General features: G+C 38.3%; 1 protein-coding gene and 1 non-coding gene across 45 annotated transcripts in view; both read left to right on the forward strand.

Moving 5' to 3' along the window:
• The window catches only part of PPP1R9A (protein phosphatase 1 regulatory subunit 9A), a 389,180-nt gene extending 369,333 nt beyond the window's left edge, over positions 1-19,847 (forward strand). For 13 of the 44 annotated variants that reach the window (XM_047420574.1, XM_047420580.1, XM_047420573.1 and 10 more), the window contains 5 exons: positions 7,450-7,762; positions 9,638-9,757; positions 10,542-10,565; positions 11,968-12,150; positions 13,523-19,847. In XM_047420574.1, coding sequence (XP_047276530.1) covers positions 7,450-7,762; positions 9,638-9,757; positions 10,542-10,565; positions 11,968-12,150; positions 13,523-13,735 — 853 coding nt within the window. In that variant the 3' untranslated portion in view covers positions 13,736-19,847. The remainder of the gene's footprint in view (positions 1-7,449; positions 7,763-9,637; positions 9,758-10,541; positions 10,566-11,967; positions 12,151-13,522) is intronic. The other 31 variants (XM_047420585.1, XM_047420589.1, XM_017012397.2 and 28 more) reach the window with 8 other exon arrangements.
• On the forward strand, positions 18-116 carry LOC124901848 (small nucleolar RNA U13). The gene has a single exon (XR_007060682.1). It is a non-coding gene; the product is annotated as a small nucleolar RNA U13 (small nucleolar RNA).

The raw sequence follows: 21,066 nt of genomic DNA on the forward strand, positions 1-21,066 counted from the left end.
TTAGAATCATGATTTTGATCTTTTGTAGTTCCTAAGTGTGATGATTGGGTGTTCACAGGCATGTGTGAGATGGCCTCCCTCAAACCTTGTTATGACATTGGCATACCCAAAAAAAATAAAATCATAGTTTTATAATTATTAGTAATTATAGTAGAATTTTGGCAGGATGGAAAGGAATTCATATAATTGGAATAGAAGAACAAGGAAAGAAGAAGGACACTTTTCTCTTGCAAGAAAAAAAATTTTGAGCTGCTATAGTAATTGGTTAACACTAATAAAATCTGTGGACAGCTATATTCTTCTGTATAGATTGATAATGGGTACAGAACCTTATAAAACCTATCCCAGGAAGAACAGAATTGCTGCCCAGTAGGAGCTTAATGCAATTGAGTTGGATTCTCAGGGTCCTGAAAGTCTGTGGGCTGTAAGCACCATCAGCTGCAGGGTCGCACTATGATTGTAGTGGGCAACTGGGAATACACTCACCAACCCTGGGAGACTTCCTCAGAAAAAGGAGGGAAGGATCCTTGGACTGAGTAATGTTATCTTTTTGAAGCATTTCATCCAATTCTTATTAGGCTAAGATTCTGATAAGATCATTGGTCAGCTATAACCTATGGCTGTTAGATTTTAAAGAGGCAAGACTTTCACTATTTGGTCTTGGTTTTAGTTTTTTCCTCTCTATAAAGAGTTTACCTTGTTGTGTTTCTGTGGATACATAATGACTCAGATACATGCGCGACATGAGACAACTAGAGAAAATGGATGAGGCTAATAATAATAAACAAATAAACCCAACAAAGAAATATGACTTGGTTCCATCCCTTTTCAAATATGTGCTCAGTGGCATTGTCTTTTTGTTTGTTTGTTTGTTTGTTTGAGACAGTGTCTCACTCTGTTGCCCAGGCTGGAGGACTATGGCACAATCACAGCTCATTGCAGCCTTGACCTCCTGGGCTCAAGTGATCCTCTCAGCTCAGCCTTCTGAGTACCTGGGACTACAGGTGTGTGCCACCATGTCCAGCTTAAAAAAAAAATTGTAGAGGTGGGGTCTTGCTATGTTGCCCAGGCTGTTGTTGAACTCCTGGGCTCAAGCAGTTCTCCCACCTCAGCTTCCCAAAGTGCTGGGATTATAGGCACAAGCCACTACACCCAGCCAACATTCTGATTTTAAACAGGCAGCATAGCAGATAACAAAAGCAGGAAACATTTAGTTGTCAGAGCTTGTTCACCCCTTAAAATGTATACCAAAGGGTAAAATAAAATCCTATTCTGTATTCTGGAGTAAGTAGCCACTGATGTCAGTGGAGCATCTACTTTGGAGCTCTGTAGATAAGTTTCCAGTGTAGTCACGGAATGGAAAACTCTGTGAGATGTGTGTATCTCAGATGGGGAGATGTGTGTATCTCAGATGGGGCTAGGTGATAGTATGTTGAGAAAATGATAAGGAAAGGAGATGGCAGTCTTCTATGGAAATGAATTTGCATTCAAGTAGAAAGTGTGAACAACAGAAACAACACTGAGCTGGAATCCAAGGTAGTAGTCCTTACTTTTCCATTAGGCAAGTCTCTGAATTCCTGGGACCTTGGTTTCCTACCAAAAAATAAGTGGATTGGGCTGACACTGCATGGCTCTGACTTCCCATTCACCTCTGCGTACACTGTCCAGTATGGTTGCCTCTAGTCAGATAAGGCTAGTCTATATTGGGATATGTGTAGGAGAATAATGAATGCTGGACTCAAAGACTTAGTATGAACAAAAAGAACATAAAATATCTTCATAATATTATAATATTGATTACATGTCAAAATAATATTTTGGGTTTGGAGGGTAAATAAAATGTATTATTGTTAAAATTATTTTACCTCTTTTTTTCCCATGGTGCTACTAGAAAATTTTAGTTTACAATGTGGTTCATTTATATTTCTTTTTGGATAGTGTTGATCTGTAGGATTCCATGAAAAACAAATCTTCCTTTAATTTCTACCCCATTATTCAGTTGGTCTATTCATTTATTGTTTATTTTCTTATTTATATTCTACTCCTCGTTATTCCAAAATAATTTGTTTACATACAAAAGTACATATGCTACAACAATATAATTTATTAAAAAGTAAATTGAATAGGGAAAAGTTAGATTAAAAAGTAAGTAAAATTGTTACTTAAAATACAACATCTTCAATAACATCTTCATAGTAAGTATAAGAGTGACCTTCCAGTGAAAGCCAAAAACACAATGTCAATATGGTTAAAAGCCTGGGTTGAAATCCCAACTCTGCCACTTACTTCTTGGACAGGTTTCTTAACCTTTCTGTACCTCAGTTTTCTCATCTGTAAAATGGAGACATAGACACACACACACACACCCGCCCCTCACATACTTCTTCATGTTATTAGGAGGATTAAGATGGTCACATTGAAGTACATTTCAAATCCTTAAATAAAAATGTCTATTGTTATCATTGTTTATTAAAGCAGGTTTGATGGGAAGGATACAAAATGACATTCTTCTTGCGTATTTTGCTGGCAGTCTTGTTCATCCAAGGATGACTTTTGTTATATCTTGAAGAATGAATGGGCTATATGGATTATACTTCAGGCTGTACTTCATAGGCTATTTCTCTCAAAGAGGCTTTAGATAAATCATGGCATGACAGTGAGTTTGAAATTATATCCTATGACAAGTACCTGGAGGGTCCACTCTGCCCCTGTTGCTGAGTAAGAGCAAAACCCCTGCTTAAGAATCATCTGAGCTGGCTGGAAACACACCTTTTAGAAGAATTGATGGAGATGAGCACATGTGTGTGAGTAGAAAAACACCCCATCTCTGCCTAAGCCTGGCCCAGTGAATGTAGTCATTTTCATGGAGACCTTTGAATAATGTCAGCTTAGCCCTAGTAGATCGGACTTATTCCCCATAACTGTCTAGCCCATTTTTAGCTGCATTTATCAATTTAATATTCAGTTTTCTTTTTAAGTACAGTATTTCAAATGCCTGAAGCCTGACAAACTTACATTCTTAACAGGCAAACACTTTTCCATACTTAAAAAAGCTCTTGAAAATCTAATAAGTTACTGTTTAACTGTAGTGACTCTAAACGTCCCAATATAGTTATCAAAGTGCTTAATATATTGTGTGTTTGTTAAAAACTCAAATTTAAAATGAGTTTAGATCATTAAAATGAGTTTAACATTTTAAGGTAGAATCAGTGGACACATTTCTCTTTCAGATTTCTATTCATACAAATTTTCTTAAACACCTAAGCAATATATCTGTTATTCTTAAACTTAGCATTTAGATTTTGATAGTATGGATTTTATTTACGTGATCCTCTTCTATTTCATTTTAAACCCCTCCAGTATGGGGAAGACTCATTAAGGGAATAGTTTCACCATCTCGAATGATTCAGAGTTGAACACTACAGTGACCATCTCAGATGAACTATTATTGATTAGATCAGAACTCAGGATCTGGGAGCAGGATATGTCTGAGTAGGGGGCGGGGGTTGGCCCTGAGCTTTAGATGGACATGTTTCTCACAGCTGTTATCCATTAGGGTCTCTAGATCCCATTTAGATGAGGCTAGCTTTACAACCTCAAACTCCTTGGTGGATGTTAGAACCTTATAGAATTACTTCATTCGATTTAGGTAAATACAAGTCTGCAATCTTCCTCTGGTTGCAACTAATTTTCTTCAATTAACTTCTTTTACTCCTGGGCTTAAATTCTGTATTTCTTTTATACTTCATCTGTTCTGGCAGTTTCTGAACTCTTAATGATATTTTGATGACATCCAGTTAGATGCTGAATACTTCACACACCTGTATTCAAAGTTAGAATGACAACAACAAAGATCACCTTGGAATGTTTAGCTGGCAATTTAATTTTGGGATGCCAGCCCCAGGATACACTGGATTCAAGATATATGTAAATGAGTTCATTACTTATAAGAGATATTACATAAACCATTTAAATGCCAGGAAACAGCTACCTCTGAAATGGTATCTTTGGATTATGAGGACGAATTTGAAGCCATTCTTTCTCCCAGTTCCTAGGAGTGACTTATGATTCTCTTTTTTCCAAAAATGATAGCAAGCCAGTAAATTATAGCTAAAAAAGAAGGTGAAGGGAATATAGACTATCTACCTATTTTGATCCACTGGAAAAATTATTTTCAGATTCATCAAGAGTTCATTTCTACCAATCTCGATTTTGGGGAGAAAGGAAGGTGAAAAGGAAAGAAAAGGAAGGAACGAGGAGGAGAAGAAGAAAGGGAGGGAGGAAGCAAATAAGAAAGGAAAGAAGGATTTTATGTTATTCCTAATGGATTTCTCCACAAAGTGAAATAGACTATAAGAGTGGTCAACATGGAATAACTGCTGCCAAACCCTTTCTGCTTCTATTGTGGGCCCAAGAGTTCAATTTATTCAGAAGGAAATTGACATTTATTTTAGAAAGCATGTCTGCTAAGCTGATAGGTCTGTAATTTTAAAGCAAAAATTTCGTTTTTTAAATGAATGTTCTCTAGGTCCGAGAAATGAAAGCATACCACTCACTGTTCAGTTCTTTAAGGATACTAGCAAGTACCCAGGGGTTACATCAGTTCATGGGGTTTTAAAATCACAGATACTCACAGAGGAATGAGAGATACAGGATACAACTTCAGCAGGGGCACAGCCAAGCCTCATGGGAAACTGAAAAATATTCTTCAAAATATCCCTGAATCTGGTGATTTGCCACTGTAGAGACGTAGGTGTCTTCTCGGAAGTGGCCTCTCATTGCCTTCTGCCTGGCTCTTCCTCCTTCCTGTCTATTACTTGGTGTGCAAAGCTAGGGAAAGGAAGCCTCTGGGTATCACCAGAGGCCCAGCTTCTGTGATCTCCTTCACCGCACATGTAAGAACCACATGGCCTCAAGACCCTCCTCAGTGCTGGATGCACAGGTCCATGTGGAATTATTAGTCTTGAATATTTTTCTGACAGTGAAAATGTTGTGAGAGAGTTTAATTAGATGTGACCTTCAGATTTTTTTCTTTTCAAATGTTGCTTGGACAGGATTTGGACTACCAAAAGTCCTTTTCAACTAAAGCAATGGAATGACCACAAGTAGAAAACAATTCTTATTTTGTCCCTATTTGCTTTTAAAGGTAATAGTGATTGTTCTAAAAGCATTGTTACAAAGGCTGTTCACTGGGAGTAGGACAAGATTGTCATGCTGTCATTAATCATGGCCTATTTATAAACTTTAAAACAATATCCATATATTTAAGCACTACTATATTTTATTGAAAATTGTGGATGAACTCATTTAAAAATTCCCTTGATTCAGAAATCTATAACCAGAGGAGATAATGATCATCCGGTCCAGTTTTTCCTCAGAGATACCCAATTATAAGAGTATGGGACTGCAGAGAAAATATTTATATGTTTCTACACAGCTAGAGCTTTCTAGGCATTTTTACTAGAATGTGGAACCTAAGCTAAAAAACAAGCCTCAGAAAATAAATTATGAGGCTGAGTGTTGTGATTCACACCTGTAATCGCAGCACTTTGGGAGGCCAAGGCAGGAGGTCAATAGCATAATAAACCCCTATCTCTACAAAAAATAAAAAAGTTAGCCAGGCACGGTGGCACACGCCTATAAGTCCTAGCTACTCTGGAAGCTGAGGTGTGAAGATTGCTTGAGCCCAGGAGGTCCAGGCTGCAGGGAGCCATGACTGTGCCACTGCACTCTAGCCTGGGTTACAGAGCGAGACCCTGTCTCAAAAAAAAGAAAACAGAAGTTGAATTGTGGGTGCATAGATAGTGAGAACTCCAGAGAGATTGACCTCTGCAGAGGTAATGTGGTTACATTTTAAGGAGGCTAAGTGGAAGAGGGGGATGAGACCATCTCCATGGAGACATTCCTAGAGTTGTAAAGCTGGAGCCACTAGTCATATCTTTCCCTAGAGACACATGTTTACATCCCAAAGGGTCAGAGCCCAAGATCCTTCCCAAGTTGAATTTACATTAAGGAGATAAGATTTCTCCCTCCACCCTCCCCAGAGGCTGCAGAGGGGACAGCTTTCCCTCTCCTATATAATCAACCAGATTCATGTTTTTGGAGTTCCTCACCTAGAGTGTAGACCATGTGTAGGATGACATCTGGTTCCCCCAGCATGCTGATCTCAATATTTTATCAGAACCTCACTGACTTCTTCATTCTCTTCAGTTATCAGCCTTATAATCCCTTTACATTTGTATCTTGCTTTACAGTTTACAAGATGCTTTTACATTTATGTCCCAGTCGATCCTCACAATAATATTTGCAAATAAATGGGAATTGTTAGGTGTTATACTATTTATATAAACTGGAAATATATTTCAAAATATATTTGAAATGAGATGTAAGAAGACTGAAATTCAGTATACATGTGGTGGGACAGAAGTTGTCTGGCTGTGGTGTCCAGGCACTTTTAATTGAAAGGGAATCTCTGTGTTATCGTGGTATCAGCAGCTATCAAATAATAGGCATTCCATCAAACGGCAAGGGTGACCTCTTCCAAGATGCACATAAACTGCTGCCTGTTCCTACTTTGGTTTCTGATAGTTATTTTTTCTCTTAACCAAAAGATAATTACAGATATGAAAGAACCTACATTAAGACAAAAAAATCTGTTTTCAAACTGCGTTCTTCAAATGCCTTTGAATCCTTTAAATGTTAAACAATAAACATAGACCATTGACAATTTGTAAGCACTTTCACATATCTCATTTAATTCTTAACAAACACATATGAGATACATAAAAATATCCACTTTTTACAGATGGAGAACTAAAAGCCGAGAGAAGGCCTGAGACCATGTACTTAGGAGGTGGTAAACCCTGGCCCTCCAAGTGGGAGATGAGGACTTCAGATCTCCTACGCCTCCTGTGAAAAGGCACTAAGATTCTGGTGAAAAACCAATAAACTACGTGTTCCACCTAAAGTATTTTGAACCCTGAAATTTCAAAATTATTTAAATATATCATTTTCTTAAGTCTCAGACCCTTCGGAACACAAGTCCAGAGGAAGACAGGAAAGAATGCTGCTTATGAGCTAATGTCCCTAGCTGTGAGGCATGTCACCCAGATAAAGGGAATGCAGTGATGATTAACCTAATAGCAGTTCCTAAAAGACTGTGCCCCTCCCTGATTATAATTCATCTACGTACACTTATTAGGCACATTTTATAAAAATTCACCATGGCAATAGCAATACGAAAATGTTGATCATTGTCACAGAATCCATTTAGAGGCAAAAAGATAACTATTAAGATTAGTGTTGTAGTCAAAAGTGCAAACTTTTTACTCTGTTGAATAGAACAGTTTCTCAAATTGTTACTTCAAACTATATTCAGAGTCCTTGGGTTCAGTAGGTCTTTTATCCGCCCTTTCTTTATCTAACACACCCATTCTTTTCACAAAACAGGATCTTCAGAGGCAGACTGGAAAACTGGACACCCAAGCCATGTTCAACAGCTCAGACCTCCACTCGTTCCCCTTGCATGCCTTTCTCATGGTTTAATGACAGCCGGAAAGGATCCTATTCCTTCAGGAACCTGCCTGCGCCTACAAGTTCCCTTCAGCCTTCTCCTGAGACTCTAATTTCAGATAAAAAGGGGTCCAAGGTAGAAAACACATGGATTACAAAAGCAAACAAGAGAAACCCAAATCCCTCCTCTTCTTCAATCTTTGGAAGGCATTCTCAACTTATGTCTGTAGTCTGGATCCAAGAAACCAATGTAATAACACTGCAATAAACAATGCATGGTATTTCTTATGTGGGGAAAAGAAAGCCTCATTTAACTACCACCTTCTTTAATGCTGTTTCATTGTAGATTGTACATTACTCTTTGATTTGCCTATCTTTTCACATATTGCTATTTAATCTCAGTTTGACAGTTAAGCCATGCTGGGAAAGATGCATTTGAATCATAGAACAGAATGATAGATCTGTTTACCCAGTATTCTACTTTAAATTACATTACTAAACTATTTCACTGTGCTTCTCAAGATTTACTGAAAAGCAAATAAATTTGGGACTGAATACGAGTTCAGTACATCTAAGTGAAACTCTTTAAAACAAACCAATGATGACATAGCATCCTTATTTATTTCTTCTTTTAATGTCAAACTTCTGTGTTGAACAACTGCTGTATAATTCTATCACCAAAGTTCTTCAACAGAATTAGGAAATATATGCATGGGTGTTACTTGTTTTTAAATGCATGATGGTTATTTCCAGCATGACACTGCAAACCTTATCTAACATTTTATTGAAACACATATGGTGGCTAACTTTCACACGTTGTTTGGTCTCCTTTTATCTGTGTTCGCTTTTCTTTCTCAAACAGAAACGTGATTAATGTTACTTGAATTTAATTCTTTTCAGTTTCAATTTAAATCTTTTCAACAGCTCAAAGGGTTTTGACTGGGGTACCAAATGGTAATGTTCATGTTAAATGTCCTGCTGCTTAAATGTTCTGCTGGCCTAGCTCCATGTGCTCTAACCTAGACTTCTTTTCTGAAGTTTTAGCAAACTTTGGAGTTTGTTCGGTACTGAATTCTCCAGCCTCTGGCATGGTATTTATTTTTGATAACCAACTAAACCCAGTATAAGGGAACCTAGTGGAAATCTAACAGTCCAATTCCTAAGGAAATGCAATAGAAACAAGATGGTGTTGGTCAAGTGCTTAGAGTTCCTGGAAATCCATCCATTTTAGAATTACTAGCAAAAGAAGTTTTGATAGCAGCACATCACTTTGGTCTTGAAACATTTTCAGTATTGGATCTGAGGCATCTAAATGCAATTCGAAGAATTCTGCCATTATCTTGCACTGTAGAGACTCCAGATTTGGTTAAAAATGTTTTTACAAGTGCAGCTACGTAGTCATTGTTGTTTGATTTTCATATCCACTGAATATTTTAATGAAGTTCTGGGGAAGTTTTATTTACACGCTCCCACCTCCCCCACCCCCAGGTGATTATTTGGAAACCTGTGTCTGTGCTGTGTGGCAGCCTCTCTGATGCTCTGCGGGTGCAGTGAGAGAGTTGTATTTCAGCATGTAACTACTAGTGTATTGTCAGGCTGTGACCTCCCCCAGAACTCATCATCTTGAAGGGTACATCCAGGAGAGGATCTGCCATTTCTCATAGTATTTATCACAGCCAACAATAAGCGATCCTTCCCAGGAGGTGCTCTAGCTACCTTTCTAATATGAATTGCCATCTGTTCCTAATAACTCAGCCTCTCCACACCATCTTGTATTTTTACTTACACTGTTACTCATCACGATTAGGGTCAAAGAAGATAGGCTTATTAATATTATTCCTCTGAGCAGTTGCAGAGGATAATGAATTCTGTACCCTTGAAGAGCAATTGAAGAATTGTCTCTCTAAAACATCTATCCTTTCATCACATGGAGAAAGCACCCAGAATTCCCTCAACCAGACAAGGTGCAGCATTCTCAACCGCTGCCCCATTGAAGGTCATCACCAAATCATACATGAATTTCTGCTAAGATTGTTTAAAAGAGCCCTTTTAGAGCTTGTAGACACACCTACCTCTTGCTCACTCACTGCACTCATTTAACACTGAGCTTCATTTATTTTTACAGAATTTTACCTTCAATGATGACTTCAGTCCCAGCAGTACCAGTTCAGCAGACCTCAGCGGCTTAGGAGCAGAACCTAAAACACCAGGGCTCTCTCAGTCCTTAGCACTGTCATCAGATGAGGTAATTCCATGGCACTATGACAGAGCTGCTTTGTCAAATCTGACGTTTTACCCATGAACCATCACCAGGAAAATGTTTTTAGGGTAGATATTGCATAGAAATCATCAGGACTGTGGTTTATGTTTAATTTGAAGTCTTCATGATTTCTCTCCCTCCCTTTCTCAACAGAAAAGCAAAGTCTTGTTCTTAAGCTTTCCAGGGGCCCCTTTTACACGTATATGTAAACACACATGATGGGGAGGCTGGGCAGTGCAGAGTTAAACATGGGGGAACAGCTCAGAAATCACATAGAAGTTTCCTAATTACTCCTTTCTTTTTTTCCTTGCCTCCCCTGACAACCACACTCACTCCAAGATTCTGATACTGCCTCTGATTAGGGTGAGGTCTCTGATTGAGAATCAATAGTTTTGATAAAGAGGGAAAATAGCATGAGAACCATTTATTTAAAAACAAGGGTCAAAATTAGTATTGCTACAAATTATCAGGAGATAAATGTGTACAAGAGAGTCAGGAAATGAGGTTAGTGATTTAGTTCCTTGAAAAATGGAGGGAGGACAGAAGGCACCATAAATAAAGATATTTTTGCTCTAAATATTTGTTCTTACTATTTCTTTCTAACATGATTTTTTATTCACAAAACTTTTTTTTTTCTTGTAAGCTTTTCTGCCCGTATTCTTCAAGCTTGGTGCAATTTTAATTTTATTAAAATTATGTACTATATATGTTGTGTCTCCTGTTTCTGTAACACTTTTCTTCTTGATTCTTTTATTGCTCCCTCACTCAGAGCCTGGATATGATAGATGACGAGGTGAGCTATCAGTGGGCTGTGTGTGGTGGCTTGTGTGCTATTGTTTGAATGTGTTTTTTCGCTCTTTGGAGATGACTGAAAAATCAGACAATACAAGAATATCTTCCTCTGTAGTGAAGGGTTTCCTTGTGTTAAATAGCTTTACTCTCTGCCTTTGTCATATCTTAGTTTAAAAGATGTTCCTAACTTAAGAGGATCTCCGCATTGCACCTCCAGAGTTCCTCGATTTCTCTTCCATCACCATTACATTGACATGGTCCATTCTTCTTCCTCTCCTTTGCCTTCATCTCAGCTTACCCTATCCCTTCTTCTGTGTTCCCTGTGTGGGTCACCAAGGTGACTCCTGTCTTTCCTTCAAGACCTATCATCACCTTCATCTCCTCTCAGCTTAGTGGGTCTAGGAACCAACCTGTCCCTTTGCACTATTAAAAGGAATATTCTGCAGTGGACAGAGCCAGAAATTTAGAATAAACTCCTAACTATTGAGCTCTACCACTTACTAACTGTGTGATCTTGGGCAGATCACATAGACTTTCTCAGCCTCAGTTTCCTTGTTTCTTTTTTTGTTTTTTAAGACAGTCTCACTCTGTTGCCCAGGCTGGAGTGCAGTGGCACAATCTTGGTTCACTGCAACCTCCACCTCCTGGATTCAAGCGATTCTCCTGCCTCAGCCTCTCGAATAACTGGGATTACAGGCATGCGCCACCACCACACTGGCTAATTTTTGTATTTTTAGTAGAGAGGGGATTTCAACATGTTGGCCAGGCTGGTCTTGAACTCCTGGCCTCAAGTGATCCACCCACTTCAGCCTCCCGAAGTGCTGGGATTACAGATGTGAGCCACCATGCCCAGCCATTTCCTCATTTCTTGAAAGTAATGATGGATATTATATGCCCTACCTTCCTCACAGTTTGCTTGCTGCTCAAGTGAAATAATGGTTGTGAAACTTCCCCTAAGAAGGCTTGAGAGCTTAATGCTCTCCTCTTGCAAGTGAAAGATACCTCAGTATTTGTTAATATATTTTTACAAAATTCCAATGTCTTATTAGAGGATAAGTGATGCATTGCATATAGAAATTTATGAAATATTTATTTTCTACATCTTATAATCTGTCCAGACTGTTTTGATGTAAAAGCTTGCAACATTAATATATTTTCTTCAATATTAAACTTCCTACATTAATAATGGTGCTTTTTTATTATGGGGAATTTCTAAACTTCTAAAAACATAAAAACATATAGGTAATAAGTATTTTTTCTAACACCACTAGAACCATTAGCTTATCATATTTTGGTTTAAACATAAATGTGGCTCTCATAGGTTAAGAAATTCCTTTTGATAGCATAATATGAGCCATAGTATCTTGGTCCTTTAACAACACTACGTAACATTCCTATCTTAGATCCTTGATGATGGACAGTCTCCCAAACACAGTCAGTGTCAGAATCGGGCCGTTCAGGAATGGAGTGTGCAGCAGGTTTCTCACTGGTTAATGAGCCTAAATCTGGAGCAGTATGTATCTGAATTCAGTGCCCAAAACATCACTGGAGAACAGCTCCTGCAGTTGGATGGAAATAAACTTAAGGTAAAGAATTATATGTCTGTCTTAGGTTACCAGGTATAATTTGTATTACTCATATCACCTAAAATGTTTTCATTAGGTAAGAGCATTCTGCATATCTGAGAGGTAATTCTCATCAATATTCAGCAGAAAGGATGTTGAATTCTTTCTGAGTAGTAAATGAAGTCTCAGAAAGTCCATCAGGGGTTCCAAATCAAATGGTAGGCTGCTGATTAGGAGAGTGAGGGACCCACTCCATTGCTTCCACCTGGCAACACATGGTCCATATATTAACTCTCCTTACATCTGATGTAGTATGAGTTTTAATAATGGCCACTGTGGACTTTTTCATCACATTAGAATTAAGACCCAGATCCACGAGTCTTCTTTTCCTTGTTCATTTCTCCTTCACCTCCACTCTTCCTTACACACCACTCCCAAACTGGGATGATGTTCTCCCCAGAAGTTTTTTCCCCAAATATGTACACACATCTTCCCTCCCCTCCATGGCACTTTCATTTCCACTTGTCCAGTCCATCTCTCTTAGAGACCAAGGTGGCATCCATCCCTTTGGGAAAGGGAAAAAGGTGCTTACAGCCAACTCCATGTACCCCCAAGCCCCACCCCCGCCTCAGCCCCCTGCTGGGCTGACGGGCAGACGAGTATCTCTTGACAATCTTGAAAAGGTTAGAGATCAATCAATAGCTTGTGAATATGAAGGCCTCATTGACAAGGCTGTCCCTGTTGGGGAGATAGATAGATGCATCCTGCTGTTGATTCTGAAGGTCACGAAACATTTAAAGTACATAAGCAACTCCCCTTATTCTGAATTCTAAGTTCATCGAGCAACCTCCTCATTATAATCAACTTCCTTTATAGGTCTGCCTACAGGGAAAGAATGGCTAGTCATGCTGACACGAGCATTCTGGCCCCAAAGACATTTTTGGTTCTCATTGTAATGAAAACATTGGCAGAAAGGAAGCCATTTCAATTCTTCTTGCCCTTCTTGGAGCCCTCTGTGACAGCAGGTGCTCACTCCTATGCTTTGAAAATATTGATGAGTTTAGCAATACCTTTACCCGTAAATGCCTACAGCCCAAAGGTTGGAGAAGTAGAATTGTGCCCTTTTTCCATTCATTCACCCATTAATTACTCATTTGGAAAGCATTTAATTAATGAGCTTTAGGGTATACTTTGCAAGGGACTTCAAAGAACAAAAGAAAAAATAAAGGGTAGCCCCCAGTGTGTTGGTTTTTAGCAAATGTAACTAGTTCTTCCTCTGTTCTTACCTCTTCAATGTTTGAATTAGTTTACGAACTTGGATATATGGTATGTTAACACCATCAGAGGGCTCATTGGTTTTCAAATTCAGTTTGTGTGTGTGTTTCTTTCTTAGGCTCTTGGAATGACAGCATCCCAGGACCGAGCAGTGGTCAAAAAGAAACTCAAGGAAATGAAGATGTCTCTAGAGAAGGCTCGGAAGGCCCAAGAGAAAATGGAAAAACAAAGAGAAAAGCTAAGGAGAAAGGAGCAAGAGCAAATGCAGAGGAAGTCCAAAAAGACAGAAAAGATGACGTCAACTACAGCCGAGGGTGCTGGTGAGCAGTAACACATACCCTCTTACAGATGATGGAGATGCTCCAAGAGAAGTCCCCACCTCTTCCTGCCCTGCTCTCCTCCAGAGGATGAAAAAGAAACTAAATGATAAGGGTAATGCGGCTCTAGGCCGGCTGAGGAACTGTGTGTTGAATAACTGCATTTTCTGCAATAGAATGCACTCTTAATTTTAACTACTAAAATAATCCCAAGCCACCTTTGGTTCATTAACAAACCAGAGATTTCATTTAAGTAGCTGTGTTTTGCTCTTCTCTAACTTACCAACATCTTGTGTTGTGTTGGGTGTGTTTTGTCACTTGGAGAACTAGTGTGACCCCACCCAAGAGCATGACACACCCTGGTGTTGTTAATGGAGCGCCGTGAATTTTCAGTGTGGGATCCTGAAATGGCAATTGCACATGTCTGCATGGCAGAGAGCACCCTGCCATGAGATCTGAGACCAGTACTTAACTTCTAGGACTGCAACACCTACTCCAATGTGTGGGAAAGATTTGCTCTTAATTCTCAGTCTGGACAGTGAGACCACCCCGCTGTGGAAACATGGGTGCTCTGCTCTGTAGTTACCTACTAAGGGAAAAGGCAAGCAAGTCATTCTGCTTGCTAGGCATCAAAAAGAAAGAAAATAAATTATAGCTATTTGTTAACCACTGAAAAAAGCAAAAGCCTTAAGAATGTGGATGTGGGTATTACCTTGGGGTTCTGAGGGTAATATTTATCCTCTAGATACGGCTGAACAAGAAAGAAAAAAATCAGACATTAATGCAGCCATGGGATATTGGGATCTGTTGACCTTGCTACTGCTGTGTGTTCAGCATTTCAGCAACACTGGCAAACACAACACAGTTCCTCTTCCCCCTACCTAACCCAAGAAATTGAACAGGAAATTGATTTTTAAGGAAACCACCATTTTCAGGTTTCCTCTCCTGGGGAACATTCTGGCTGGTCTTCAGCCTGCCTATGTCACAATCAGGAACTCATCACATATTTTCTACTCAAGATTTCCCAGGTGGGCTCAGTTAGTATTTTAACAAATGTACTTTTAAGAAAAATAGAAATACCAGTTAGAGGAAACTGTCAGTTAACATTTTAGAGAGATTTTGAATGGTTTTTCCGAACCATTCCTTTCCATACTTCAAAGATTCTCAATTTTACAGAAAAAGTTTGTTTAAGGCAGTGCATAGGTATACTTTAGTAGTGGAGGAACTTATACTAATTTTAAGCCAGCATTAAGGATTTCCATGTTTCACCAAACTAAGTCAAGTGCAGGAGACTGGGGCAGAAGAAGGAGAAAATAAACTCGTTTTGAGAAATTTCATGTGATGAGGGTTTTTTGTTTTTTATGCTCATGTATCTGGTTCTCTTTGCTGCGTTGACTCTAAAAATGAGGTTATCCACTTTCCAAAGGACAAGTTTCAGAATAAGACTTGAGGCCACATGAATTCTTGGACAGTATTTTACTTCTTTTACTTTATGGGAATCTCTGCTCTGTTCCCAGCATCTCGTATCTTCCACTAGAAGTATTCCATATTTAGAGCCTCGGCAAGGCTTTTGAGTGTAACAGATTAAGGGAACTCCCTTGTAGCCCCATCTTGTATTTTAATAACAGTGTGATTTTTTTTTATCTGAAAATCTGAATTCAGAAATTATCTAAACTGGACATTTTTAATTCTGTTTTACCCCCAAGGCCTGTTTTCTTTTCATTGCCAGAGTATTGTCGGTTATGCGTCAGCTCTTTTGTCATTAGGTACAGACCCTTCATTCAATCCTCAGAAACGTTGACATGAAGTAACATTGTGTTTTACAGTTATCAAAGTCACCATTATGTTTTTCTGTCTGTCTTCATTAGGGGTATGATAATGAAACTGCCGTATTGGATACTCTATTAATGTCTTGAGATGTCTGGTGCTTTGTTATTTTTTCACATCATGAGAAATAAGAAGCCACTATTAATGAGTGATACAATTTGGCAAAACTTTTCAAATACTAAAACACTAAATTAGTAAAAATCTGGTAATATTAGTGCTTGCTATTGTAAATTTTTGCCATTTTTGCTTATCTTTGGGAAAAAAGTGACCTGGATCACACTGGAAGTTTCACTGTATTCAAGAGTAGAAATAGAAGGATGATTATCTTAAGTTATGTTTACACTTTGGTAATATTTGAAAATGGATGTATATACTGGAAATGTCTGTAAGTGTCTTGTTTTTGCACCTAATTTATGATCTATTATATTGCATTTTCTTAAATATCTTAGAAGTATTTTTCTTTATAACTTTGTATATTGAATGTTTAGATAAATGTCCAACTGACAATGTTATAAATCAAATTCTTATTCCTAAAATCATTTAGTATTATAAGTATTTTGATTTTTTAAGTTAAATTATAGTAATTTTAGGCCGAAGTGAGTTATTTTAACATTACCACTTAAAACGGATGAAATTGTAAAAGTCATTTGGTTTGATTGCCCCACAAAGCATAAGATGTAAACTGATTAAGGGTATGAAAGCAAAGTGAAAGACCTCAGATCTTGTGCACATTTTGTTTTCCTATTATTTCTTTTATTGACTGTAGTGCATGATACCTAATCAAGGCTCCAATGTCTTGCACAATTCCTACTTTAATGCTAGTGGTTTTCAGTGTCCTTACAATTTAACACAGAATTGTTATTTCATCAACCTTAAAAACTGCAGTTTTTATTATCAGAAAATGAACAAAAAGGGAATATCTGGTTGCTATGAACTGATTCCCTAAAGGAGAGCTCAGTATGATTCTAACAATAGCCAAAAGTGTTTTGGGGTATAGGTTATGCTTTGTTGGGAGGGAATGTGTGGTGAGGAGGCCAAGCTGCAGACAGAAAGCATTGTATGAGCTGTATCTGGGTCAGGGTTTCCCATTAAAGGATGTTAGTTTTATAACAGATTACTTTGTTTAAGACCATCTCCCTTCAAGTAACTCACAGTTTATGTAATACTAATCTCATTCTTTTTTTACCTGAATCAGGAATTTTCTGCAGAATGTTAAGTTAGGGAAGAAACCTCATTTCATCCATTCTAACACTCCTGATGAAGTCCCCCTTTAGTTTCATGACAATAAAGCTGTTCTGTGGCTATCATCCTTTAGCTGGGATTGACAATTGATTTCACACCCTCAACATCACAAGCTTTTTTTAACCCACAGCAGTTCATGATTGCAGTATGATAGGTACTAAAGCCAAACTCAGCTTTCAACTGGCACAAAATGGGACTGTCACCTTTTGCTCCATTGTTGTTGGAAACAAAGTGGCAAGAGGGAAAATGAGGAACCAGATTTACCTTTGCCACTATCTGTGACCCTGTAATCATCACTAGCCTGAAATCTTAAAATATCCCAGTCCCAAGCTACAAAAATGGTCACAGGTGGTTTGATCTAGCACCTCGGCCGTTAGAGTTTGTGCTGAAGACAAATTTGTCTGGGTTCATTGTGCACCAGAATTAGCATGTGCTTGAAAATTGCATTTTATAAAAGGGAAATGAAAATTTGCATTTATATAGATACTCTGATTCATGTTTAAGTGTTAAAGGTTATGCAGACTAAACTTCAAGAGGAGATCCAGTGTTTAACAATAGTGTTCTAGAGGATTCTAAAGGAAGCTGCCCCAGCAGCCCTGAGAGAACCATCTATACTTTGGATATGTTGTAGCCCCATCATTACACTGAGATATTTCCATTTGAGTAACTAAAGGTACTCCTGACAGAGCTGGAGATGAGGGGCATTTTGGTGGGCAGTGGTCACTAGGGTTCACGTCACCTACTTAATGCAAAGACCTTAGTGGTCTCAGAATGAAAAGGTAAAATGGAAGAGAAAAGCACAGTCCTTTCCTGTCTTTTCAAATTTACTTTTTATTAAGGATGTACCTGTGCACTATTCTAAAGCTAAGCATTTAAGGATAAAGTCCAGAAATAAAATGTCCATATTTTCTTTTCTTTTCTTTTTTTTTTTTTTTTTCTGTCATCTGTCACCCAGACTGGACTGCAGTGGTGCCATCATGTCTTACTGCAGCCTCAAACTCCTGGGCTCAAGTGGTCCTCCTGCTTCAGCTTCCCAAGTAGCTGGGACTACAGGCATGTGCCACCACCCCCAGCCAAAACATCCATATTTTCTATTAGAATGGTTTACATTATGATGGGGGATGGGGAGCTGGGGGAGGGCTGTACATTCCCAAAAGAAAGTAGTGTTATAGGAAATCCAAATGCGCTTCAGTGATTCACTCCTGAAAAGCAGCCTGGGTATGTTGGCAGATTTTGTTTGCATTTGTCTTGCGTATTTAAAGTCTCAGGAAATCTAGTCTTGGTCCAAAACACTGGAGAAAAAAATAACACCAGACAAAACACATTTGAGTAACTTGAAGTAGCAGCATAGAATAGGCCCAACTAAGAAGTTGGAGGGGCAAAGAGAAAGCCGACAGAATCAGCTTCTCCTGGAAAGTGAAAGCATCAAGTTCTATTTATGGTAGACAGAGGGTCCTTATTTGCTTGTCCGTGGTGTCTATGTGGGCCTATTGAGGGAATGGTAGTTACTTGAAGGTTCACATATGTAAGCGTGTGGACCCAGCACAGTCTGTGACCTGATTCCAGATCCTCAAGAGTGGAGAAGGAAAGAAATATGATGATTTCCTATGCTTGACCCTAACCCAACCCCAAAACTGCTAGGGATTCAACAGTGAGTAAGATGTATGCAATAAGAGAACAGATAACTTCTCAACAATGTGCATGCCGTTTGTGTAGATGTTCAGAACTACATATGTGTGAATATCACTCCCACCTTACACACGCACACACACTGCAATCACATGGCATTAAAAAATATATTGTGTATGGAACTTGGCGAGGTCAGTCAGGACCTGGAGCTGTAATCATAGCCTTATTGCCACTTCTTGCGTTGTGTATACATTGAATGGCTCATAGATTTTAAGAGATTTTTTTATTGTAAGTATTTCTACTAAATGCACTTATCCTTCTATATGTTTATATATTTTGGTAAAATTGATTTATCAGATACTTGGTATTTTAGTAAGAAAATTTCCTCAAATATTTGGCTAATGCTTTGATGTCAAGATTGCATATTGCTGAGTTGGAGCTCAGAAGAAATGTATGCAGCTAAAAATTGCACTGTGTGTTCTTGTGAATTTGCTCACAATTCTAAAATGACATAATTGGTGGCTGTGATGCTTACAGTCACTGCCTACTGGCTCTCTTATGATGAATGTTGCCATCATATGATCATTTATTTACTTTTTGTGCAAGCAATGGCATTTTGGTTGTTGCCAAAAACAACACAAGTGGTTGGGAGTGTATGTTGTTGGAAGGTGTACACTTCTGTTTCTTTCAGCTGTATTATTTATACACCCAGGTTTTCTGTTAAGGATGTAATCATTCATTCAAGAAAGAACAATTGGCAAGAAATAATTAAATTACCTTAAAAAGAATTAAGAGGCACTCCAGCCAGATAACACCTCCCAACAACATGAAATTTAGTTAGTGCTTAGTGAAATTCCTTAAATATATATGTATATGTTTTCTTCAACATTATTTAATATAACTACTGCTTTTATATTTTTTAATGGTGTTGCAACCACTTGTACACCTGCTACACCTTACTGACAAAACTGGGCAGCTGAAAATAAAAGAGAATAAATTCTATTCCACTGTAAGAAGTTGATTTCTTTTCAGCTTTCTTTGTATATCAGTAAAGAACACGAATTGTTTGAAAATAATTTTAAGTCTGATAAGTATGGATAGCATGTTACCTAAGCTTTTAATTTGTACATTTTGATGTCTGATCATTTGCATGGAAGAGACAATAGTGCCACGTCTGAATTGTTCTCTTGTGCTTGGTTAATATGTACTTCTCTAGATTGTTCAAAAAGTTTCAAATGACATTCCTTACTCTTTGGTTTTCAGAGGCATTCAAGCAAAATATCACAGTGGTCTTTTGTTTTCTGACCAATCTAACAATACCTGTGATTAAATTTAATTTGTTAGTGTAAATAAATTTCTTGCCAATGAGTATTATTGTTGTTAGACAACGAATGCAATAAAAAGAAATACTGAGGTCTGTTGAAGCAATTTTTTTTCCCTCTTCCATTTTCACCTTCAACTAAAACAAGCCTTGACTGGGTAAACCTGTATCAATTGTCAAAGCATATATCTGTCAATCAAGAGCAAAGTGCACATTTTTCATGGAAATGAAACTAAGTCTTAACTGTGGTAAAGTGTAAATTGGCAGCTAGAAATTACATTTGAAAGCACAATTATGGAACTGGGCATAAAGTTAAAAGAGCAAAGCCTGCACTCGAAGCTTCCTCGCCCGTCATTTTGTTCCCCTGTCGCTGCTTCACCATCAAAGTCTCTGATATCTCTCAGCCAGGAAAACCTCTGTGACAAATCCATTAAGTAGTCAGTCTCACATAGCGAGGGGCAAGCTAAGGAAGAATCAGGACCATCGTAGAGTATGGGGTTATTTTAAACAATATTCTTTCTAAAGCCTTAAAAATAAGTGAGGGCTATTAATTTCATTCATTCTTACACACGCAAACTATAATTTATATGTGACTAAGCCTATGTCAGTGCGAAAATTTAGATCTGGGAATCACAGAATACATGAATTAAGCTGTTTTCCTCTTTTTCACAATGTATGTTATGAAATTTCTAACCAAGCCATGTCCCTTTTTGAGTGATCTTGAGTATGTGCTGTGTCAAATTGGATAGGCTTTTGTTTCTTCAGTGGAATTTGCTTATCTATCATCAAGAACAAGAAAGAACAGAATGTGGTCATTTTATTGAAGATGTTAGGGAGCCTAACTACTCAGGAAATTCTTTCTTTCTAAATAATGAAATATGTTGGGGGTGTTCCCTAAGCATCACACTCATTGATAATTTCAAGACAGTCTTTCAGAGAACCCAGCATCCTGGGCTGTGAGCAGCATCTCAGAAAAATTGAGCCCATGTAGGGCACGGGATATTATGTCACTGGAATCATGAGTAACTCCAATCTTGCTGTGAATAAAGTGGTTTTTTGACCCAAACAAAATGTTCCTGTTTATTACTTCAAGTCAGTGATTCTTAAACAACTGTTGGTGGTTCTCAATTTATTGGCAAAACATTTTCCCGGAAATGCCAGACTATCATCATAACAAGTGCCTTAGAAAAACTTCGTTTCTGGCTGGGTGTGGTGGCTCGCACCTGTAATCCCAGCACTTTGGAAGGCCAAGGCGGGTGGATCACCTGAGGTCAGGTGTTCGAGACCAGGCTGGCCAACATGGTGAAACCCCGTCTCTACTAAAAA

The sequence above is a fragment of the Homo sapiens genome, chromosome 7 (assembly GCF_000001405.40).
Source record: "Homo sapiens chromosome 7, GRCh38.p14 Primary Assembly".
Taxonomy (NCBI): Eukaryota; Metazoa; Chordata; class Mammalia; order Primates; family Hominidae; genus Homo; species Homo sapiens.